The 22942-nt window shown below is 39.8% G+C and overlaps 1 protein-coding gene and 1 pseudogene across 7 annotated transcripts in view; one reads left to right on the top strand and one right to left on the bottom strand.

The window, feature by feature from the left end:
• PTPRG (protein tyrosine phosphatase receptor type G) overlaps nucleotides 1–22942 on the bottom strand; it is a 736039-nt gene that overhangs the window by 541127 nt on the left and 171970 nt on the right. For 6 of the 7 annotated variants that reach the window (XM_017006961.2, XM_017006963.2, NM_002841.4 and 3 more), the window contains exon 2: nucleotides 7501–7605. In XM_017006961.2, coding sequence (XP_016862450.1) covers nucleotides 7501–7605 — 105 coding nt within the window. Of the gene's footprint in view, nucleotides 1–7500; nucleotides 7606–8439; nucleotides 8459–22942 lie in introns of those variants that run through there. The other variant, XM_017006962.1, reaches the window with a different exon arrangement.
• On the top strand, nucleotides 13346–14058 carry RPL10AP6 (ribosomal protein L10a pseudogene 6; annotated as a pseudogene).

The raw sequence follows: 22942 nt of genomic DNA, 5'->3' as shown, positions 1-22942 counted from the left end.
ATTCTCCAGGTACCTTAAGCATATGGCAACACATTTTTCTCCTTTGTACATAAAGTTCTGATTAGTGTGTGACCATATGTGTTTTTTCTTACACCATCTACCCTTGGAACCACACATGAACTATAAAAGAAAAATAGTATCTGTAGGAAGAAACAGTTTATTCTACAATTTGTTCTCTATCTTGAAGCCCTCCTATCCAAAAACATTTAGGTAGCAACAGGGAAATACAATGACTAATTACAGACAAAGGTTCTGTTCAAAGAGCATGAACTCTAAAGGGCATAAGAAATGCAGACAAAACACTATAACACATCTTAATAGGTTCTAGTCAAAATTCTTCATCTTTTCAACCAACCCACCACTCCTCATTTACTTATTTCAAAACAAATGCAATGCCATCTTCAATCATCTTGGGGACAACAATTCATTTTGCCTTCTCCTCCTTGTACAAACGATAATGAATTCCCATGAGCTCTTTTCTTTTCATTCTCAAATCCCCAGTGATACAGCCCCATCATTTTTCATCCTGCCCTCTTCCTCCCACTGCCCAGTCCTTAACCCTACAACCAGTGGTCTTAAACATAAAACCAACTGTAGTCCAATTCCAGGTGAAGCTCTTTAATTACTCCCTATCATCCTTAGAAAGAAGTTCTATGTCACTAGTAGAATAATATCATAAGGCTGTCCATAGTCTAACTCCAATCCTCTTCATTAAGCCCTTAACTTTCTCCACCCGACCACATGCTCTAGAGCTTCTGAGCTGCTTCTGGTTCTCTAATCACTGCCAGAGCCCTCCAGGCTCAAGGCCTATGTGTGTCCTGGCAAACACCTGCCTGTCTTTGAAGACTGGAATCTGGCAACAGCAATTTTATGGGCAGCTTCTCTGGCCCTTCACATTTAGCACAACACCTGGCACACAGTAGACAATTAGTAAGTGTGGTAAACAAATAAGTAAAGAAATTCTACTTTAAAACTGTAAGATTAATAGGGATATGTAGAAAAGATAAACATTAATTTTAAAAATAAATAAAGGGGAGACTGAGGAGTTTAGGCAGAAATGGGTCAGGCTAAGCACCAAGGCACAGGGAGCCTTTGAGCTGAGACATGGAGGAAGACTCTCAAGGCTGATTCCTCCTCAGTGGTGTGGTTCCTTCCGATCAGAAGGTCTCTATTAGGGCTGGGCGCAGTGGCTCATGCCTGTAACCCCAGCACTTTGGGAGGCCAAGACAGGCAGATCACTTGAGGTCAGGAGTTCGAGACCAGCCTTGCTAACAGGGCGAAACCCCAACTCTACTAAAAATACAAAAATTAGTCGGGCGTGGTGGCACATGCCTGTAATCCCAGACACTCAGGAGGTGCAGGCAGGAGAATAGCTTGAACCCAGGAGGCGGAGGTTGCAGTGAGCTGAGATCAGGGCGACAGGCGGAGGTTGCAGTGAGCTGAGATCTGGGCAACAGGGTAAGACTCCATCTCAAAAGAAAAAAAAAAAGAAGAAGAAGAAGGAGGTCTCTATTAGGAAGAGAATGTCTCTAAGGAAATGATTCCCTTAAGAGATTTTGGAGGAGGCTTTAGGAGAGAGGCAAATAACACAACAATATTAACATTAAATTTGAGGTCCTACAGTGCCTTCCATTCTTCTAATGACAAAAGCTGAATTCTGCAGGCACGTATATTTTGCTTTATCCTGTACAGACATTCTTAAAAATAGACATGAAAATGTAATTTTAGGAATTTAATTATATCTTAAGTTCACCAGGGGAGCTTGTTATTTAAAGGGATCCAACAGTGAAACCTTTTGCAAATCACCCACTAATTTATCTGAATTTCATGGCAGGACTCCCCTTAGTAAATTCCCAAGGACAGACTCTGGCTTGAGTTAATTTATCCGTGTATCCACTTGTCCACTTGAAAAACATGCACCAAATCTCCACAAAACAAGACACACTGGCACGCTGCAGGAGAAACAAGGAATTATAAGCAATAATCCTTGTCTTCAAGGATTCTACACTTAGCCGGGGAAATGAGACACACGCCCAGACACACACATGCATGTTATAAAACAAGATGTTTATATGAACAGTGTAGTGAGGTGGCATATAATGAAGAGCCACACAGGTAATACCTACTCTACTCCAGGGTGGAGGCCAAAAAGTACATACTACAGGTGCCAATATATATTACCTTTAATCCTCAAAGCCATCTCCATTTTACAGCTGAGCAATTCCTCAAATCCCAGGACAGTTGGAGAGGACCATGGATGGCCCCTGGCTATGGCAGGAATGCCTCTTAGAATAATCCTGCTTGACCTTCACCCAGCCCAATGCCAGAAATGTCTTACGGGGAATTTTGGTCACTGCCTATTTCAATTCTGGGTTTCTCTAACAATGAGAAATGGTCTCCTTGTACTGATTCTTAGAAGCTATTTCTACACAGGGGAAAATGAGATAGAGATTATTAAAATTGTGAAAAATGAAACAGAATTAAGTTAAAACAAAAAAAAGCAGAGGAAGGGAAGAAACTACCACCTGTTTTTCTCTAGTCTTTGAGTGGCAAGAGAGAAAATAACTTTATATATAAAAATGCCTCTGGCCGGGTGTGGTGGCTCACACTTGTAATCCCAGCACTTTGGGAGGCCGAGACAGGCCGATCACCTGAGGTCAGGAGTTCAAGACCAGCCTGGCCAACATGGTGAAACCCCATCTCTACTAAAAATACACAAATTAGCTGGGAGTGTGATTGTGCACACCTATAATCCCAGCTACTTGAGAGGCTGAAGCGTGAGAATTGCTTGAACTCAGGAAGCAGGGGGTTGGGGGGTTGCAGTGAGCTGAGATCGAGGCACTGCACTCCAGCCTGGGTGAAAGAGCAAGATCCAATCTCCAAAAAAAAAAAAAAAACCCTCAAATTTCTACTTGAAGTTACTCTAGATTTATGATTTATTTTTCATTTCTCTTTCCTGCATTGATGACCTGCCTAGCATGTGTTACTCTTTGTGCAATAATTATAGAAGTTCTGGGCAAACTCCAAAATTCATGAGCTACCATCACCTCAAGAAAGACAGAAATATACTTTAACTGAGTAAAATTAATAGAAAAGAAATTGTTTTATTATTTCCAATGAGATACTATTAAACTACTGCATTTTTTCAGTACAATTCTATATGAAACTTAACTCATTCCCATTTTTGCCTACTATGTTGGTACAAGGAAAAAGAAATCCAAAGATATAAATCAATCATCAAATTACATTGCTATTATTATGTCAACAATAACTTATATTTATGTTCCATTTCATACCTTCTATGATGTTTTCATGTCAAAATCAGATATTATGTCCCCCTTTTTTACTAGCAGATGAAATTTAAGATCCAGAGAAACAACAAATCTTCCAGTGACCACAAGAGAACTCTAATACATATCTCCAGGTTCCTCAATAAATAGTTCTCTATGCTAAAATTACAGGTATTCACAAAGGCATTGTTTGATAGGCCTATAAAGGTAAAGTTTAACATTTCAAAAATAAATAAGGTGTCTGCATTTTCCAAGGTGATGCAGTGAAGTGGAAATAAAGTAGGCTAGTCTTAAAATGAGAAGTGAAAAGTTATACCAGACTAACATCTGCTAAAAACCCAGGCTATATTACTATAAGCAGGAGTTGGCAAATATTTTCTTTTTTTTTTTCTTTTTTTTTTTTTTTTGAGACAGTCTTGCTCTATCACCCAGGCTGGAATATACAGTGGCACGATTTCAGCTTACTGCAACCTCCACCTCCCAGGTTCAAACAATTCTCTTCCCTCAGCCTCCCGAGTAGCTGGGATTATAGGTGCCCGCCACCACACCCAGCTAATTTTTGTATTTTTAGTAGAAATGGGGTTTCACCATGTTGGCAGGTCTCGAACTCCTGACCTCGTGATCTGCCCGCCTCGGCCTCCCAAAGTGCTGGGATCAGAGGCATGAGCCACCGCACCCGGCCAGCAAACTTTTTCTATAAGAGGCCAGATACAGTAATATTCTAGGCTTTTCACCATTACTAGATATTTAATATTCAATATTACTAGATATTCAACATTACTGGAATAGTAACATTCTAGGTCTCTGTCACAACCACTCAGTTCTGCAACTGTAGCACAAAAGCAGCCATAGATAATATGCAATGTGATGGGTGTGCTTGTGTTCCAGCAGAATTTATTTTACAAAACACAGCTGCAGTTTGTAGTTTGCCAACCACTGAACTTGAGGATAGTCTGCTTAACCCTCATGCCCAAATCCCAACTAAGCACCCCTTGAGAATTATGGCTGAGAGAATCTAACTTGTTCAGCTCTCAGAACTATCCAGTCATCACCCACTGTCAATCGCGACACTTGTGCATTCCAAAACCAACATTAATTGCAGCAAAAGTAATAATAACAGTCTCAAAAATAAGCAAGAAGTAATATTAACTACTTACTTTACGCCAGAGACTATGTTAACGTTTTCTTTTTTTTTTTCTGAGACAGAGGCATGCTATGTCACCCAGGCTGGAGTGCAGTGGGCGCAATCTCGGCTCACTGCAAGCTCCGCCTCCCGGGTTCATGCCATTCTGCTGCCTTAGCCTCCCCAGCAGCTGGGACTACAGGCGCCCACCGCTACGCCTGGCTAATTTTTTTTTGTATTTTTAGTAGAGACGGGATTTCACCGTGTTAGCCAGGATGGTCTCGATCTCCTGACCTCGCGATCCGCCCACCTCGGCCTCCCAAAGTGCTGGGATTACAGGCGTGAGCCACTGCGCCCGGCCTATGTTAATGTTTTCACAAATATCATCTCACTGAATCCCTGTAACAATCCTATGTGGGAAGTGCTATTAATATTAATCATTCCCATGTCACACTTTTCCAACATCATCAAGATATTAACAAAACTTCGCTTTGAACTATGGTTTGTCTATATGACTTCAAAATTCATACTCTCACACACTGCACCCCTAAAGCACCCATGGCATTATCTTAGGAGGAAATAAGACAAATCAGAGAATTTGAGGCCTCAGATTAAAATCTAGACTATTAAAGCAATCTTTGAGGAACTGCCTGCTTCATTTTGCTAAATTTAGAAACACTTCCCTCATAAAAAATGAGCCTTTTTTTGTCAGTCCCACTTTTCAAGCATTTATATCCAGAGGACTATGCCTGCAGCTAATAGTCCCACATCTCATTTGCTGTGGTTTTAAGGTGCTGGTCTGATGTACCCAAAGTAACAGGCCCCAACTCTTACTTCTTCCTGGCCTTGTTTACACATTGGCCAAATGCTAAGGAATGTCTGTGATGAACTCCAAGCCTTCTTGACATGAGAACCAATACTGCACCACGTCAGCATGAGCCAACCATAGATACTGTCGAATTGTCAGGAAGAACTGTTGCAAGCATAAGAACTTTATACCATCAGTTGATATCTGTCCCATTCTATTCTTCTTTTACTCTTATTTTTTCCATTATGCCTAACAAATGACTTCATTCAGTCTTCCAAACCAGTCCACATCCTTCCAAGCAATTCCTCAAATGACTCTCCTATCTGATTTCTAGGAAAAAAATCAACTGGAACAAGGGTTCACAAACTATATAACCTGTGGACCCTATCCAACCAGCCACCTGTTTTTGCACAGCCTGCAAAGCAAGAATGGTTTGTATATTTTTTAATGAATGAGAAAAAAATCAAAAGAAGAATATTTCCTGACACATGAAAATTATAAAATTCAAATTCCAGTATTCATAAGTAAATTTTTATCAGAGCACAGCCAGTCTGTCCAGAATTGTCAGTGGGTACTTTTAAGCTACAATGGCAGAGTTGGGCAGTTGCAACAAAGACGACATGGCTTTTGATGTTTGTTACCTGGATCTTTTCAGAAAAAGTGTGCCAACTCTTGAATTTGAACCATTAGTCCTTCTACTACTGGAGGCAATACCCAAATTCAGACACAATGCATTCCAGAAATACAAAATGGAGACTTCTGAACTCTACCAAAGTTAAAGACATCAACAATCACTCCATCACAAAGATGGCACCACTTATGGTCATTCTTAACTACATAATGGGAAAAGTTTAAGGGCTTTCATCTCTTCACTGCCATTTGCAATTGGACATGCTAATGGGATATAACTTCCAATTTCCTGACTAACAGCATTATTATTCTAAACTGATGAACTGTAAATAGCAAGCCACTTTGTGCCTCCTCCTGACTGATGTCAGAGCCACAGAGTACAAAATGATAAATTTTCTTTGGGTTTCTTGGCAAGATGCTATATATATGTAATTTTGGCTTTCATCTGCCAATTTCCTTCATTTATCAGAAATGGTGACAAAAAGCCTCTAATTAGATAATTCTAATCACAAGGTACTGGGTGTGATGGAAAACTTCAGAATCACTATCTGTTCACTGCAAAACAAAACAGATAGGATATTCTCCCTGCAGGGGCAGCAGATTTATCAATAGACAAAAGGATGCAAAAAGCCAATAGATAAGGTATAATTAAAGATCAGACCTATAAATTTTACACTGGCATAAATTTAACAGGATTTGCTGGGAGAAATTCAGGATTTAAACCCGAGCATCATTATGAAAAGAATACTTTCAGTTCTATATGCAACAACATTGCATAATACATAGATTTATTATTAAGACTAATACTCCATGCCTCCAAGCTCTTTCATAGAAGGAGTTTGAATTATTCAGTGCCAAAGTAATTTCCAAAGTGGTCTATCTTACTCAAGCATTCCTTAATTAGCTTTAATACATTTTCCATATATTTTTGAGCATCAAAAATCTCTTCTAGAAATAACAATCCACCTCTCATATTTTGGGAGTTTTGGGAAGCCTAATCCAGAAAAGTCTATCCCTAGTTTTCGGTCTTCATTTTTGTCCCCTTAAAATGTAAGAAAATTATTTGCAATGTAACATTCAACATAGTTAGAACAATGCTCTCTCCCTTCATTAGCTCAAAAGGGTAAAAGTAAAAATAAAAATGAAAAGGACTGCAGATTACCATCGAGTAGACAGCTAAAATATATTCAAAGAACAAGATGTGATTTAAAAATAAAGTTGCATTTCTTGGCTTAGAGCCTAATAGAGCATTCTGATATGTGATGTTTGTAATGTTTAGCAGACATTTAGCAGCTCAAGACTAGCCATATATTTTCTGCTCTCTGAAATCACAGCCCCTGAAAAAACAGAAAAGACAAGACTACGTCTTTCAGAAAATTACAAGTTTGGTACAATAACTCATTAACAGTAAAGTTCAGAAATAAACGCAAATTGAGGGGAAAACAGGTTGAGGAAACAGGTGGTAGAGATAAATTAAGGTGCTTATAACCTTGAGGAAAAACAGGCTCGAATATTTCAACTTTTAGTGAACTACGAAAGATTTGAGCAAACAGAACTCAGGCATAAAAGTGATTCAAAGTGTGCTTTCAAGTGAGTTGAATGGGATGTTAACTGGCCTGTGTGATCTCCATTAGAACAACTGGACTTACCAGAGTAGGCCCAGTACGGGTCGCCTGAAGCCTTGCGCCTGCGGATCTGCACTGCGCTGCCGTGTCTATTCTCGTGCAGGGCCCCAACGTAGCCTTCTGTCAACGCTGGAAGAGAGGAAAACCCACAATGAGACAAAGGCAGCACCCCACTGGATACAGGAAGGGTGTCAAATGAACACCATTGGGTGACTTCGTAGAATCATAGTCCTTGAGGATGACTGACTAGAACCAACTTATTTTACAAAAAAAAAAAAAACTATAGGAAAGTCCAGACAAATTATTATTATTAATATTAGGAATCGTTGACAAGGAACCTTTACTTTGTGCCAAGAAGTGCAGTACACTAAGCACTTCATATACATTATCTTAGTTGATTTGCAAAACACCACCAAGCAGTACAAACAGTGATCCCAATAATGGGGCCCTTTTATGGATAAGCAAACTGAAGCTTCAACAACAGAAAGAACTTTAACTTGACCAAGGTCATACATACAACTAACTGGTAGACTTCGGTTCCAACTGCATGTATAAGTTTACAACCTGTGTGTAAAGACCCTCGGGCTCCATTTGATCTTTACAGAGCCAGGGTCATTCTATCTCTTTTACAGATGGAGGAACTAAGGAGCAGAGACACAAAGTAACTGGCCCCAGGTCACCCAGTAGGTATGCAGTAGATGAGAAAACCAGACTTAAGAATCCCTGCATCAAAGCCAGCCACCCAAACACAGGACAATCTGAAACCTAGGAGACTCCTTGTGATTAGTACCAGTCTTCCACATCCTTTGGGCCACTAACAGTCACCTGTGGTGCCAGAAGATATGAAACAAGAAAGCCTCCAAGGCCCACAATGCCCACAAAAGAAACACTGATTAGTGATGTATATTTGAAATCTCAAAATCATTTCAATCCACCAAGCAACAGCAAAAATACTACTCTCACCCATTATGGAGAGCTTCCATCTGCCTGCTATAGCGTTCAAAGCCCTCTCTTCCCAGCTACCTCATGGATGCGGATTTCTTTTGTTGTGAGCCCACACCTGAAAACACTGATGTATAAGAAGACAAATGTCACAGGTGCCTCAAAATCCAAAATGAAACGGAATTACACGCAAACAATATACCCCAGCTGACTATGATAACATTTAAATGCACCTAAACAAAAGCAAGCCTGCTTTCAAAGAGAAAAAAAAAAATTTAAGAAAGTTTTGGGAAGCTGTATATTCAATTGAAGACAAAGATGGGACCAGGAAAACACAACGCATTCTGTATTCCAAATTAGTCAATGGAATAATATCGCCAAGATATTATTAGCCTTTTAGACAATGTGACAGTCATTAAAAAAAATTAAGAAACCTGTAGAGTACTTTATGCTTACACTTCAATTAAAAAGACTAGCATTAAAAGATGTAATGCTTGAACAATAGTATTCCACAGAGATGAGCCCTTTAGAGGGAAACAAGAATCCTATAAATTCTCAACACAAGCCTAAAAAGTAAACCTGATGTCATTTATGTCTGCTCATTGGTCCTCAAAGAAAATTCATGTCAAAATTTAAGCTTCCACTCATTTTTCAAGTACAAGGTAGGTTTAGGTGCCTTCCATCCAAACCATTCTACAAATAATTATTCCCCATTAATCCTTCCTCTTTCCATCAAAACAGTGAGTAAAACACTGTCTTGCTATGTTAGTAATAAATGTGGCTTCCATTAGGGTATGTGGTTGAGCCTCAATTTCCTTGACTGTAAAATGGACCTAAAAATGCCAGCCTTCTAAGACTGTTACAAAGATAACGCAAGTTATGGTGAGCAGAGCACCTAACTCAGCACTGGGCATACACTGCTTTTGGTTTTGTTTTTTTTTTGAAACAGGGTCTTGCTCTGTCGAACAGGCTGGAGTGCAGTAGCAAGATCATGGTTCACTGCAACCTTAACCCCTGGGTTCAAGCAGTCCTCCCAACTTAGCCTCTTGAGTAGCTGGGACCATCAGCGCATGCCACTATGCTCAGCTGATTTTTTATTTTTGTAGCTGATCTTAAACTCCTGGGCTCATGCAATCTTCTCACCTGGTCCTCCCAAAGTGTTGGGATGGCAGGTGTGAGCCACTGCACCCAGCCCTAGTGCTTTTTAGTGTCCGACAACATAGTGGAAATTTGCTGTAGAGGATCTGTTTTGTAATAACCATATCCCCACTCCAGCTAGCTGTGTATCACGCATTGGACAGCTAACCCGCCACCACCAATGTTAGCTCTAGGAGTGAGCCTTGTTTGGTTCAAGCCAGTCAATCACTTTTAACCATTCTCGTGGCCCCAGTGATGCATTCAGGTATGGGCACACTGGCCAGTCAGAGAGATTCTTCTTCCTTCCTGAAGGTATTAGACAAAGTGGAAGCCTCGGGGGGTGGTTGAGGACCAAGTAAGGGATTAACAGAGGACCTTAAAATTAGAACCAAAGCCAGGGGGACCAAAAAATCAATTCTGTTGACAAAATTTAAACTCTGCCAGCCTGGGTAACAAGGCGAAACCCTATCTCTACAAAAAATAAAAAAATTAGCGCGTGTGCCATCCTGGCTAACACGGTGAAATCCTGTCTCTACTAAAAATACAAAAACAAAATTAGACGGGTGAAGTGGCGGCACCTGTAGCCCCAGCTGAGGCAGGAGAATGGCGTGAACCTGGGAGGCGGGGCTTGCAGTGAGCCGAGATGGCGCCACGGCACTCCAGCCTGGGAGACACAGCGAGATTCTGTCTCAAAAAAAAAAAAAAAAAAAAAAAAAAAATTAGAGTGTGTGGTGGCACACGCCTGTAGTCCCAGCTACTTGGCTGGCTGAGGTGGGACGATAGCGTGAGCCAGGGAGGCTCAAGTGAGCCGTGATTGTGCCACTCCACTCCAGCCTGGGCAACAGAGTGAGACCCTGTCTCAAAAAAAAAAAAAAAAGAAAAGAAAAAGAAAGAAAGTTTAATAAAATAACTAAAATAAAATATTTAAACCTTCGACAAAGCTGATTTGAAGCTAGCCCTCTCTGAGGGTCTATTTTTACTGGGATCAGTTTTACCTGCTAAAGCACATTTTTCTGTCTTTTGTACCAAAGAAGATCCTCAAATGACACCCATCGTATGCTTTAAACCATCACTTGAAATCCTGGTCATAAATTTCTCCATCCATAAAAGGCCATTGTTGTACTAGAGCTCTCTTAACCCTGGGCTACTTTAAAACCAACCAACCAACCCTATGCCTTGGACTTCACCCCAGACACACATATACATCACAATGTGGTATAAGGAATTGGACTTGAGCAACAGGACTGCCTGTCTAAAGGTAATTCACTTAAGACAGAAGTAAAAGGTACGGTTCTGCTACATACGACAAGAGGTAACAGAAGGGACAGGGCCATCCCAAGAAGGTAGGTTAATCTTATCTTCCTCACACTACGCAAAGTATTGAGGTACAAAGTGGGTTTTCCACAGCAAGGTCAGCATGGGCAGGAAAACTGGCTTCTAAAGTACATGCTGCATGGCGTATGAAGGGCTCTAAGCTCCCTGGAAATAGGGCACAGGCATATTCCTGAACTACTACTGTCAACCTACCACTCACAATGGAAATCAGCGCATGGTGTGTGTTCATCAACAGTGAGGGAATGGCAGCCAGGTGCGAGGCTCACGCCTGTAATCCCAGCACTTTGGGAGGCCAAGGTGGGCGGATCATGAGGTCAAGAGATCGAGACCATCCTGGCCAACATGGTGAAACCTCGTCTCTACTAAAAATACAAAAATGAGCTGGGCATGGTGGCACGCCTGCAGTCCCAGCTACTCGGGAGGCTGAGGCAGGAGAATCGCTTGAACCCAGGAGGCGGAGCTTGCAGAGAGCCGAGATCACGCCACTGCACTCCAGCCTGGCAACAGAGCAAGACTCCGTCTCAAAAAAAAAAAAAAAAAAGTGAGGGAATGAATGAACACATGAAAGATCAAAAAGCTGATGGTTTCTGTGTTCTAGAGGGTAGTGATGGTAAGAAAATGTGTGTGTATCTATGCATGTTATGTACCTGTTTACATAAGCCACAGGCAAAACCACCACCCAGAACCTCACTGACTCTCTAGCCACTGCCCACCTATCACAAACAGCAAGCATTTAATACATGAAGCAAAAAGAAAATGGCCCTGAGTAACCAATAAGCAATTCTTTAGGAAGGCAATTGTTCAGAAATGAACAGGGCAGGACTTTTAACCTCAGCACCACATTTTATTTTTTAACTAGATAAACTACTCATTAAAGGTGACTATATTTAGTTTTCCCTTTTGTTCCATCTCTGTCAGTAATGTGTGACCTCTCCCCCTCCCCTATCTGTAAGAGCATAATCAAGTAATGTGCCACATGATAAAATTTCAGTCAATGAAAAACTGCATATATGATGCTGGTCCCATGAGATTATAATAAAGTATTTTTTACTGTACCTTTTATGTGTTCGGATATGTTTAGATACACAGATACTTACCACTGTGCTACAATTACCTACAGTATCCAGGACGGTAACACATTGTACAGGTTTGTAGCCTAGCAGCATTAGGCTACACCATATGGTCTAGGTGTGCAGTGGGCTGGCTATTCCATCTAAGTTTGTTAAGTACACTCTATGATGTTCGCACAACAAAAGCGTCTGAGGACTAATTATCATTATTACTGGCACTCACATAATTTAAAATAAGACAACACTTTAAGTCCTCTCCTCAAATGCATTTTAATCGACGATGCTGTGATTTTTTTTAAAAACCAACTTTTAAAACTATTATTTGAACAGCAGTCAAAAAGTATATATAGAGTATATTAAGCAACTTAATATTTTATTGGCAAGGAGCAGTGATTTGCAAATAGAAACAGTCTGTGGTTCCCAAGTAAAGATACAGAGTCAGCACACCAAAATTCAATCAATTTTAATACTCTTTGTACTCTTCTAAGCTCAGACAGACAACCAAAGGCGGTGTGGCAATGATATGGTATGGCTATGAATCATGCTATTGATTTTCAATATCTTCTGTGCAGAAAATTAAATTATGCAAATGAATGCCTTTACGGATCCTCACCTTAATGTGAAATTGCATACTTGCTTATGTCAGCAACTTAATTACACAATTAAAAATGGAGCATGCTTATGAAAATATGTAGTTTCACTCTTCAGAATAGACAATAAGTGTAAATCTGCCTATGGTTATCATGTGAATAACAAGAGGGAGGACATGGTGTTATGCACACATATATTCTACCAAGTGTTACAGCACCAAGCCCACTATGGTTTATGGAGGGGAAGTCGTTTTTCAGTGAAAAGCTTAGGAGGACTTTTAGTCATGTTATAGCACAGCGAGAAATTGGAATATCAGTTATGTAAGACACAGAGAAGCCCAGCAGTATATGCTGTACATTGCTGCATTCTCCTCCTCAAAGAGGTCATCTCTAATGACATTTTAACCAACACACACACACACACAGACACCCATGGCCTGACAAACCTGAGCATCAGGAATATCACATTTAAGTAGTCTGAATAGTGTAATAATGAAATGGGTTTAGAAAGGAAGAATACAGTGACTCCCATCATACAGGAAAATCTGAGTCTCTCGATTTTGACAAGGTAAGAGTGGAGATTTCAAAACCAATAGTATTAACTAGCCAATGATGCTTACGTCTCACTCAGCAGGAGGAATCTTAAGTCAAGTTGGTTGCTAGGCAGAGAGCTGAATGAGTGACAGGTATTTTCATCAGGGAGTTTCCATAAACTCTGTCTCTTCTCAGAACTTCTACTGAGCCTACCTCATTTCCAGCCCGAAGCAAAAAAAGATAAAAATATTACCAGACCCGCTCTTTTCCGGTTAGCGCGGCGTGAGAAGCCATGAGCAGCAGTCTCTCGCAACACCCTGTACGAGGCGGTGCGGGAAGTCCTGCACCGGAACCAGCGCAAGCGCCGCAAGTTCCTGGAGACGGTGGAGTTGCAGATCAGCTTGAAGAACTATGACCCCCAGAAGGACAAGTGCTTCTCGGGCACCGTCAGACTTAAGTCCACTCCCCGCCCTAAGTTGTGTGTGTGTGTCCTGGGGGACCAGCAGCACTGTGACGAGGCTAAGGCCGTGGATATCCCCCACATGGACATCGAGGCGCTGAAAAAACTCAAAAAGAATAAAAAACTGGTCAAGAAGCTGGCCAAGAAGTATGATGCGTTTTTGGCCTCAGAGTCTCTGATCAAGCAGATTCCACGAATCCTCGGCCCAGGTCTAAATAAGGCAGGAAAGTTCCCTTCCCTGCTCACACACAACGAAAACATGGTGGCCAAAGTGGGTGAGGTGAAGTCCACAATCAAGTTCCAAATGAAGAAGGTGTTATGTCTGGCTGTAGCTGTTGGTCACGTGAAGATGACAGCCGATGAGCTTGTGTATAACATTCACCTGGCTGTCAACTTCTTGGTGTCATTGCTCAAGAAAAACTGGCAGAATGTCCGGGCCTTATATATCGAGAGCACCATGGGCAAGCCCCAGCGCCTATATTAAGGCACATTTGAATAAATTCTATTACCAGTTCAAAAAAAAAAAAAAAAAAAATTCCAGACCCAAAGGCCCAATTTCTTCCTATAAAAATGTCCTAAGAGTCACCTACTACTGAAGATATCAACGCAACTGTTTCCTACGTGCCTCATTTAATTTCCCAGAGCCACCGGACATAGTTTATAAGAATAAATGTTTTTATTCCAGAATAAAAAAGCAGATGTGTATCCCATCTGCCTTAACTGTGTCTTCGGGAGGATTCTGTGTAATCCTTACTCTCAGTGTTTCACAGAAATATTGACTTCCGGGGAAAAAAAGACTTGCAAGCTGTGTTAACTCTTCTGTGTTAATTTGCAGTCTAAACATTTTTCATACAAAGAGCCCGGCTCCTCTGAATACCACATGAAACAGCATTCGTGACATAGATGTTTTTTCTTAAGTTTTACTCTCAGAGAGATGAAAGGGTCACTGAGTCTATATTGAATATGAATAAATGTTGTTACATAATATATCCATAGGGAATATTTTTCCTACAAGATTGCAAATTCATGATTGAAATTAGAGTACAATGAATGTCTTACTGTTTTTGACAAAGGTGGTCCATTTACATATAGATTTGTGTATATGAATGTCAATGGAAGTCTGAGGTGTCCACCAAGAAAAGAAGATACATGGCCACAAAGGATTCCAAAATAACCCCGGCATTCATCCACAACACTGGTTCATCTGACTGTATTGAACCAGCCATGTCGACTTGACCTCTGCTATGTCATTATCTCCTACAGGGAAAAGTGATTATATGACAAAGGTTATGCAAAGGTGAAAGCAGAGTAAGTCTGTGATGAGAACATCCCAAAGTTCCATCTACAATATGGCTGCACATCCTATGATCAAAGCAAAACAGCGTAGTAACACATAAGGGTATTTCTCATTAACTGTATGTCCAATTCTAGGTCATTCCAAAGGACTTAGAAGCCTGGGAGAATAGGTCAGCTTCCATATAAAATTGAAAACATCAGAACAAAGAAATTCTGGTTCTCCAGTGCCAAAATGAAAACTACTTAGGGTGATGGGTGGGTGGTTCTCATATACAGAGTCCTAGTTCTTCTCCCAGATATACTGCCAAAACATAAGCCAACTAAAAACAAGCAACAGGCACTCACATTGTCAAATCTAGAACGAAGATATCCAGAATGGCAGACAAGCAGTTAAGTAGGTTGTTTATATCTATTTTAATGGCACATCAACAAACAAATTAAAGATCCCTCAAGGATGGTGAAATCTCCATTGAGCACAATTTTCTCTAAATTTTAAAGAGCATTTAAGAACATTAAATCCCACACAATAGTCTAAAATGAAAATCTTTTTTTATGCCTACAATGGGCAAAAGTATCAAATTAAGTTAAAAGTAATTAAATATTCTGATCAACCTCTCATTTCCTTTGTGCCTGTATTTCAATCAATTGTAGTAAAATGTGCTCGGTGAGTGTCCCAAAAAGTAAAATGAAAAAGTGTGTTCCTTTGTAAGCACTGCATTATAAATGGTCCTTCTAGTTGTTTGTAATACTGAGCTAACCTCAAATACAATAGATTATATTACACTAGATTCCCTATTTTATCATATTCAAATATACTTACTGTTTCAACTATAAAAAGTTTTTTTCATCACCTTACATGAATAAAGAGACCTAATATAGAGCCATGATGTTTTTTAAGTAAAATAAAGTACTGAAACTCAGAGGCAATTCAAGGGAAAGAGGAATCACACAGCAATGTCGTATCCTAGAGGGAAAAACAAACAGAAAAAAAAGCATTGTAAAAATGAGCTATAAGCCAGGCAGAGAACAAAATACTGAAGTCCTCTATTATTTTACTCTTAAATAGTGTCAGTTACAAAGGGCAGAATCTATTAAAAAAAAATAAATAAGGGCTAAAATGGACAAAACATTGGAGTCATTCCTCTGCCATTAACTCTGTCAGTTTTAAAACTTCAGAAATTAAAAAATACACACTTTCCAACAGATCTCAGAAAAGATACACTTATAAAACTGATTTATAATGGAGCTCATTATACATTTGTGATGAAAATCTGAAAAATACCATGGTTCCCTCTTTCTCACAGGCACCTTCCTAAAAAAATTTGGGCTCACGGCATCAAATATCAGACAGAAATAAAATGACTACTCTTTCAGGCCATTTTACTACTGTTTGATTCTCAAGGAAACAAATCTCCTGATTCTATAATATTACCAGGAAAATGAAGATCAGTGACAGACAGTGTTGGTGTAATATCAAAGGCCACAGACCTGTACTTTCCATTTTACAATTGTGGCATCTCTTTATATCTTTAATGGCCAGCAGAAATGGCAAACAGCAGAGAGATTACATGCTGGTGGCCACCATGCTGAACACGGCCACCCATCTGAACTTTTGTTTCACCCACTGTACATGTATGCATGGGTGTATGCGTATTGCATTAGTTGCCAGTGTGGAAAACCCCAGGAGAGAACACCAATATCTGTATTTTCATTTTTTTAAAATGTGAGAGCTGGGTCATGTTCCCAAATGGCAACAATATGCTATGTGAATAGCAAGTAGCTCTTTAGAGAAGAGTCATGAATATCCAGCTAGCTGCCTTCTCCACCCAGTCCCACTTGTTCATTTGTATTTCTTAAAGAGTCCCTGTGGCCATCTGTGTTTGCACCCATGGCCTGGCCCAATCATAAGTTATTTACTAAATCAAGTCAATTATTGCCTATGAGGAAAGCATCATTAAAATTACCATCAATACACAGGCTCATGTAATTCTTCCAGTAGTCCTGTAGCTTAGGTACAATTATTCAGAAAAGGTATGTTACTTACATAAGAACACATAGGTCTGAACCAGATATTACTCTCAGTCCTCTATAACTGATACTACACTACAACTATACTTCACAAAATTGAATTTTAGGCATCATAAAAATATCTGTGAGTTAATATGAATAGCTACTCCACTTGCTCAAAGGTAAACAAACATCACAAGTGAAAAATTTCTACATGAGCCTCATAAAACTAAAAATGTAACAATTCCAAAAGAAAGAAGTTGTCTAGGTTAGTCTTTCCACCACTATTGGCAATTGTCTAAGATAAAATCATGTTCCCAATATTATTAACAGTAAAATGTAGAGTGATTTTTCTAACTTCCAATTACAACTACACAAACTTTGGTTATTGTCTATAAATAAGAAAGTCACTTCCAAGCCAAGCAGAAATATGTATCAAATTGATCACAACCAGGAACAGATTTCTTTGTTCTTTCTCCACTCCCACTGCTTCCCTTGACTAGCCTTAAAAAAAATTTTTTTTTTTCAAATAGGCCAAGTCCCATCACTTTGGAAGGCCAACCAGGGAGGAGAGCTTGAGCCCAGGAGTTTGTGACCAGTCTAGGCAACAAAGCAAGACCCCATCTCTACCAAAAAAAAAAAAACAAAAAAAAAAAAAAAAAAAGCAACAGAGCAAGACCCCATCTCTACAAAAATAAAAATGAAAATTAGCCAGGCAAGGTGGTTCCAGCTATTCAGGAGGCTGAGACGGGAGGATCACTTGTGCCCAGGAGTCTGAGGTTGCCATGAGCCGTGATGGCACCACTGCACTCCAGCCTGGGCAACAGGGCAAGACCTTGTCTCAAAAATAAAATAAAAATAAAGAAGTAAGCATTAAGTTACAACTTGAGTTAAGGAAGCAAATAAGAAAGTGACATGTTGATTAATAAATTATCTTGATTCATGTTATCTTTCATTTAAAATGTGTAATTGTGACTGCCTAACACATTTTTATCCATGAGAAATAAGCTTGCAGTGAGCCAAGATCGCACCACTGCACTCCAGCCTGGGCAACAGAGCGAGACTCCATCTCAAAAAAAAAAAAGCAGATTCATCCAGCAGTTATTTGTCAGTTGTATAAGTCGAATAGAGCACCATGGTTAGTAACTTTGTGCCAAACCCCAAAACAAACTATGTCACCTAACTTTGGTATTTGAAAGAAATAGGCCTTTTATATAGGCCTTTTATATTGTTGAGTCATTTTTACATGCACATTCCATGTGAAATATTGAATGAAATAGGTTTATATATATATATACATATATATATATATATATATATATGTATATATATATATATATATATATATATATATATGTATATATATATATATATATAAAAATGGACAAAGAAGCCCTATTTAAATGTGGTTGGGTACCCATTTTAAAACCTCAGCATAGGCCGGGCGCGGTGGCTCATGCCTGTAATCCCAGCACTTTGGGAGGCCGAGGCGGGTGGATCACGAGGTCAGGAGATCGAGACCACGGTGAAACCCCATCTCTGCTAAAAATACAAAAAAAATTAGCCGGGTGCGGTAGCGGGCGCCTGTAGTCCCAACTACTCGGGAGGCTGAGGCAGGAGAATGGCGTGAACCCCGGAGGCGGAGCTTGCAGTGAGCCAAGATCGCGCCACTGCACTCCAGCCTGGGCGACAGAGAAAGACTCCGTCTTAAAAAAAAAAAACAAAAAAACCTCAGCATATCCACAACCTCTAGCAAAATGTGCCAGGAGCAAGCAGGTGATTAATAATTCCAGAACTTAGAAATGAGTAAGCTTCACAATAACAAAAATATCCACCAAGATAATCCCTAAACATGGTAGATGGTAGAAAACACCCTGAATGCACAAGCCCTAGGACCTGCGTCTGGGGATCAAATACAGGGGACACTCCAACCATGACACCCCTTTGCTTAAAACACCGTATCATGAAGGGGGTGGACCTCATTCCAAAACTCTCCCCCGAGTAAAACCAAAGACCTCTGACTTCCAGAGCCAGGTTGAAGAAACCACTTGAACCCTAGCTGGTCAGCCACTCAATAGCCCATCGCCATCTATTCCCCAAGCTTTGTGCTTCTGGTCAGCAAACTATGTACTCCACCTCCAACACCCACCATCTGCTTAAGTAGCTCCTAACTCCTGCTTATCAAAAAGATAATTTCTAGGAAGTTTGGTAAGATTTAGGCAAGTTTTCTTGGTCTCTCCATGACAGGATGCTGCCATGGCATTCAACAGTATATACTCTACACCGTTCCTGCCCTCTTGGAGCTTCCAGTCCATGAGGAAGGCAATCAATAAACACATAAAGCAAAACTTGTATAATGACTGAACAACATGAAAATAAAGTGAAACACACATGATACAGCCACAGAGAATACAAGCAGGGAAAGAATGTACTTAGAGAGAGAGAGGAGGCAGGGAAAGAAACATCATTTGGAGAAAAGAAACATCATTTTAGTTGAGGGCATTGACAGGGAGAGATGATAGGGTTCAAAGACAGGGGAACAGCACATACAAGGATGTTGAGGCAGGAAAAAGGGTGGCATCCACCCTGGTAAATCTTGATGAGCTGGTGTTGGGGAGAAGTGGGAGGCTGAAGATGCACCAAGTCAGGATCCTTCAGGACCTTAAAGGAACTTAAGAAGGCAATGAAGAACCAACATGGCAGTCAATATGGTCTGATATATGCCTTCCTTTAAAGCAGCGTTATTGAGATATAATGGTTTTTAGTATAATTACAGACTTGCATAAACCATTGCTGTAATCTAATTTTAGAACATTTTAACCAATATATGCTTTGTAAAAACAACTCTGCTGGGCAGGGAACAGATTGGAGGGAGGCGGGCAAGAGCAGAAACAGTGGCTCCTCACTCCGATCCCCAGGGTGAGTCAAGACGAATCATTGTTAAGTGTGTACTTCCACCTGTGCACAGGGGACTGTGGAGGGAGTGCTCCTGGAAGAAAAAGTTTGGAAAGCAAAACAAATATTCAACTCATCTATTTATATTTACTTGGTCAAATGCCTAATGAACGTGTTTTTAGATTTCTTTTGATATTATTTTTACAAACTTCACCTTCACCCTTCTTCATCTGAATTAGGATTGTTCACAAAATGAACTGCTTAGACAGATCAATGGGGGAAAAAAAAGATAATAGTTAATGAGAATCAAGCCAAATACAAGTATTCACAGAGAAAATAAGGAAAAGAAAGAATATACATTATTACTAAATTTTCCCTTAGCTATATAGTACATAAAATTACACCCTTGATAATCATACAAGAAAAAAAAACTTCCTGCCTGTATGATACTTGTAGAGGTACAGAAGGCTCTACTATGGATTTCAGAGGAACCTTATGTCAGTGATGATTAAAAAATTAAAAAAAAAAAAAATGGCCGGGTGCGGTGGCTCACACCTGTAATCCTAGCACTTTGGGAGGCTGAGGCAGGCGGATTGCCTGAGCTCAGGAGTTTGAGACCAGCCTGGGTAACATGGTGAAACCCCATCTCTACTAAAATACAAAAAATTAGCCAGGCATGGTGGCCTGCGCCTGTAGTCCCAGCTACTCGGGAATCTGAGGCAGGAGAATCACTTGAACCCAGGAGGCGGAGGTTGCAGTGAGCTGAGATCACGCCACTGCGCTCCAGCCTGGGCAACAGAGCGAGATGCTGTCTCCAAAAAAAAAAAAAAATCATTGTTTTAACATGGATGTGAGCATGGCCTCAACCTCAACTCTGCCTCCCAAAACAATTCTAAAAAGAACTTTTCCGTAAGTCGGTGTGAGCACATCTAAGTAAAGGCTAATTAATAAATTAAATCTATGGTAAATTGTCTCTGCACAATGAGAAAGACTTTGTCTTTAGCACCTGTTCAGGATGGCTCTATAATCATGCATCTGTATTCAGGGACAAATATGCTTTGGGTAGAAAAATTCCAAATACACTGCTCTCTTCCTCACTCCAAGTCTGTAGGAACATTTCTTCCCCCTCAAACACAGGCCTCTCATCGGCTTTGTTTGATTCAATCAATGTAGGCCTGTCCCCGGCATTTCAAAGAAAAAAAAAAAAAAAACTCAAGGAATTGGGGTTAGTATTGCCCAGGCAACCACTTTAATGTTGCTAGTCAGAATATCCCAGGGCTACAGGTTCATTTTTGTTATCTCCATTTTTATTAGGTGTTAGATTTGCTTCCTTTCCAGCAAGAATGAGGCTGGCTTTGTTCTCTTCAATTGCAGAAAGAAATCATCAGAAGAAATATCTTGCATTTTGCTTTGCTTGAAGAGGAGTTATTAACTTGAAATAACACAATACGAGTCTCAAGGAAAATAATTTAAAAGGGCTATTACAATCTTAAATGAAGTGATTTAATTAAAAAAATTCTAACCACATAAAAATTTTCGCTAGAGCACATCAAGATGGCTAAAGCACTTATCTCTAGGTCTGTTTAAATAGCTCTAAAAGCAATTTCTTAAATTAATTATATGAGGAAAAATGTTTTGCCTTTTTGGGAAGAAGAGCTATTTAACCAAAGTCCTTTCCTGATGAAGAAACTGCAGCTATTAAAAAAGTGGGGTTTGTTTCCTTTCTCTTTTTTGGCTATGCTTTTTCAAAAACCTCCTCTGGCTCTGACCAATTATGCTATAAGATCCATCTGAAGAGTCAGACGGAAAAGCAGTTTCATGACTTTGGAAAGCTCACATTCAAAATTGAAAGTTTCAGTTCAGTATTATTCCCCCCCTCTCAATATCTATTTATATACAAGAAGCTAGGTGAAATCAATTTCAGGGAGACTTTTCAACTCTGAATATAAATCCTTTTATGACTCTGCAATACGGTCAATCAAACTTGGGATAGGAAGGAGAACAAAAAGGCAGTTTCCTTTTTTATTTTTAATAAATACACTAACGTTGAAGAGTCATTTTGTATCTTTGGGGGTTTCCCTATCAGGCAAAATTAAATGAAACGAACTCTTCCTTTGATTTATAGACAGCAAACGAGAAAGACATCGCATATGCAGTAAAATACTCTGGAACAAATTGGGACAACCGGGTGCCAAAGCCAAAGAACCGCAGATCACAGAAATCCTGGGTGAATTCTGAAAAATAAACACTCCTTTAAATATTACTTACAAAGGTTTATTAAATGGATTTGTTCTTAAATATCACCTCTGCATAATCAGTAAGTGAGTATTAAGTGAAAAGGTGAGAGAAATAGATGGTATTAGGAGCAACTGGAAACCTCCAGTTTTTCTTGCATGCCTGTCCATTCATATTCTGGTTAATCTATTCTTTGATATTTAACATAATGGAACCAAAAAGTAGGAGAGAAAAAAGCCTGCAGATTTTAGGTATTTCAGAAATCATACATGATATCTGAGGTTTATTCAAGAACCAGTGTTTCAGAAAAAGCGAGAAAGAGAAAAAGCACTTTGTAAAATGCATTTAGGAAGTTTCTCTTTAACAGTCATGCTCTAACCAGAGAGTTCTTATTAAAATAATTTACCCAAAGTGAACAGATGTTGGCTGGGCGTGGTGGCTCATGCCTGTAATCGCAGTACTTTGGAAAGCCGAGGCAGGCGGATCACTTGAGCTCAGCTTGGGAAACATGATAGACCCATCTCTACAAAAAATACAAAAATTAGCCAGGTATGGTGATATGCACCTGTAATCCCAGCTACTTGGGAGGCTGAGGTGTGAGGACCGCTTGAGCCTGGCAGGCAAAGGTTGCAGTGAGCTGAGATTACACCACTGCATTCCAGCCTGGGTACAGAGCAAGACTTTGTCTCAAAATAAAATAAAACAAAACAAAAGTGAAGAGTTGATCAATCCCAGGATGAAACAGTAGAAGGAACAGGGAAATGAGACTAAAGATATTGTGGCAGAAACAAAGATTTTTAATTTATGTTTTGGGAAGAAGTCAGGAATGCTTTTTAAAGCTCCATCTCAATGTCAAAGAAATAAATCCATTCCTAAAATTTGTCCTGCTCTGCTTTAGTTGCTAAAATTCACAAAGAAAATGAGTAATGGTGCTGGTGATAGGTAATGCTTCTTTAGCACTTACC

This window comes from Homo sapiens, chromosome 3, assembly GCF_000001405.40.
Source record: "Homo sapiens chromosome 3, GRCh38.p14 Primary Assembly".
In the NCBI taxonomy this organism is placed as follows: domain Eukaryota; kingdom Metazoa; phylum Chordata; class Mammalia; order Primates; family Hominidae; genus Homo; species Homo sapiens.
Note: the sequence above shows the minus strand (reverse complement) of the source record. Positions and strands in the feature narration are given on the sequence as shown.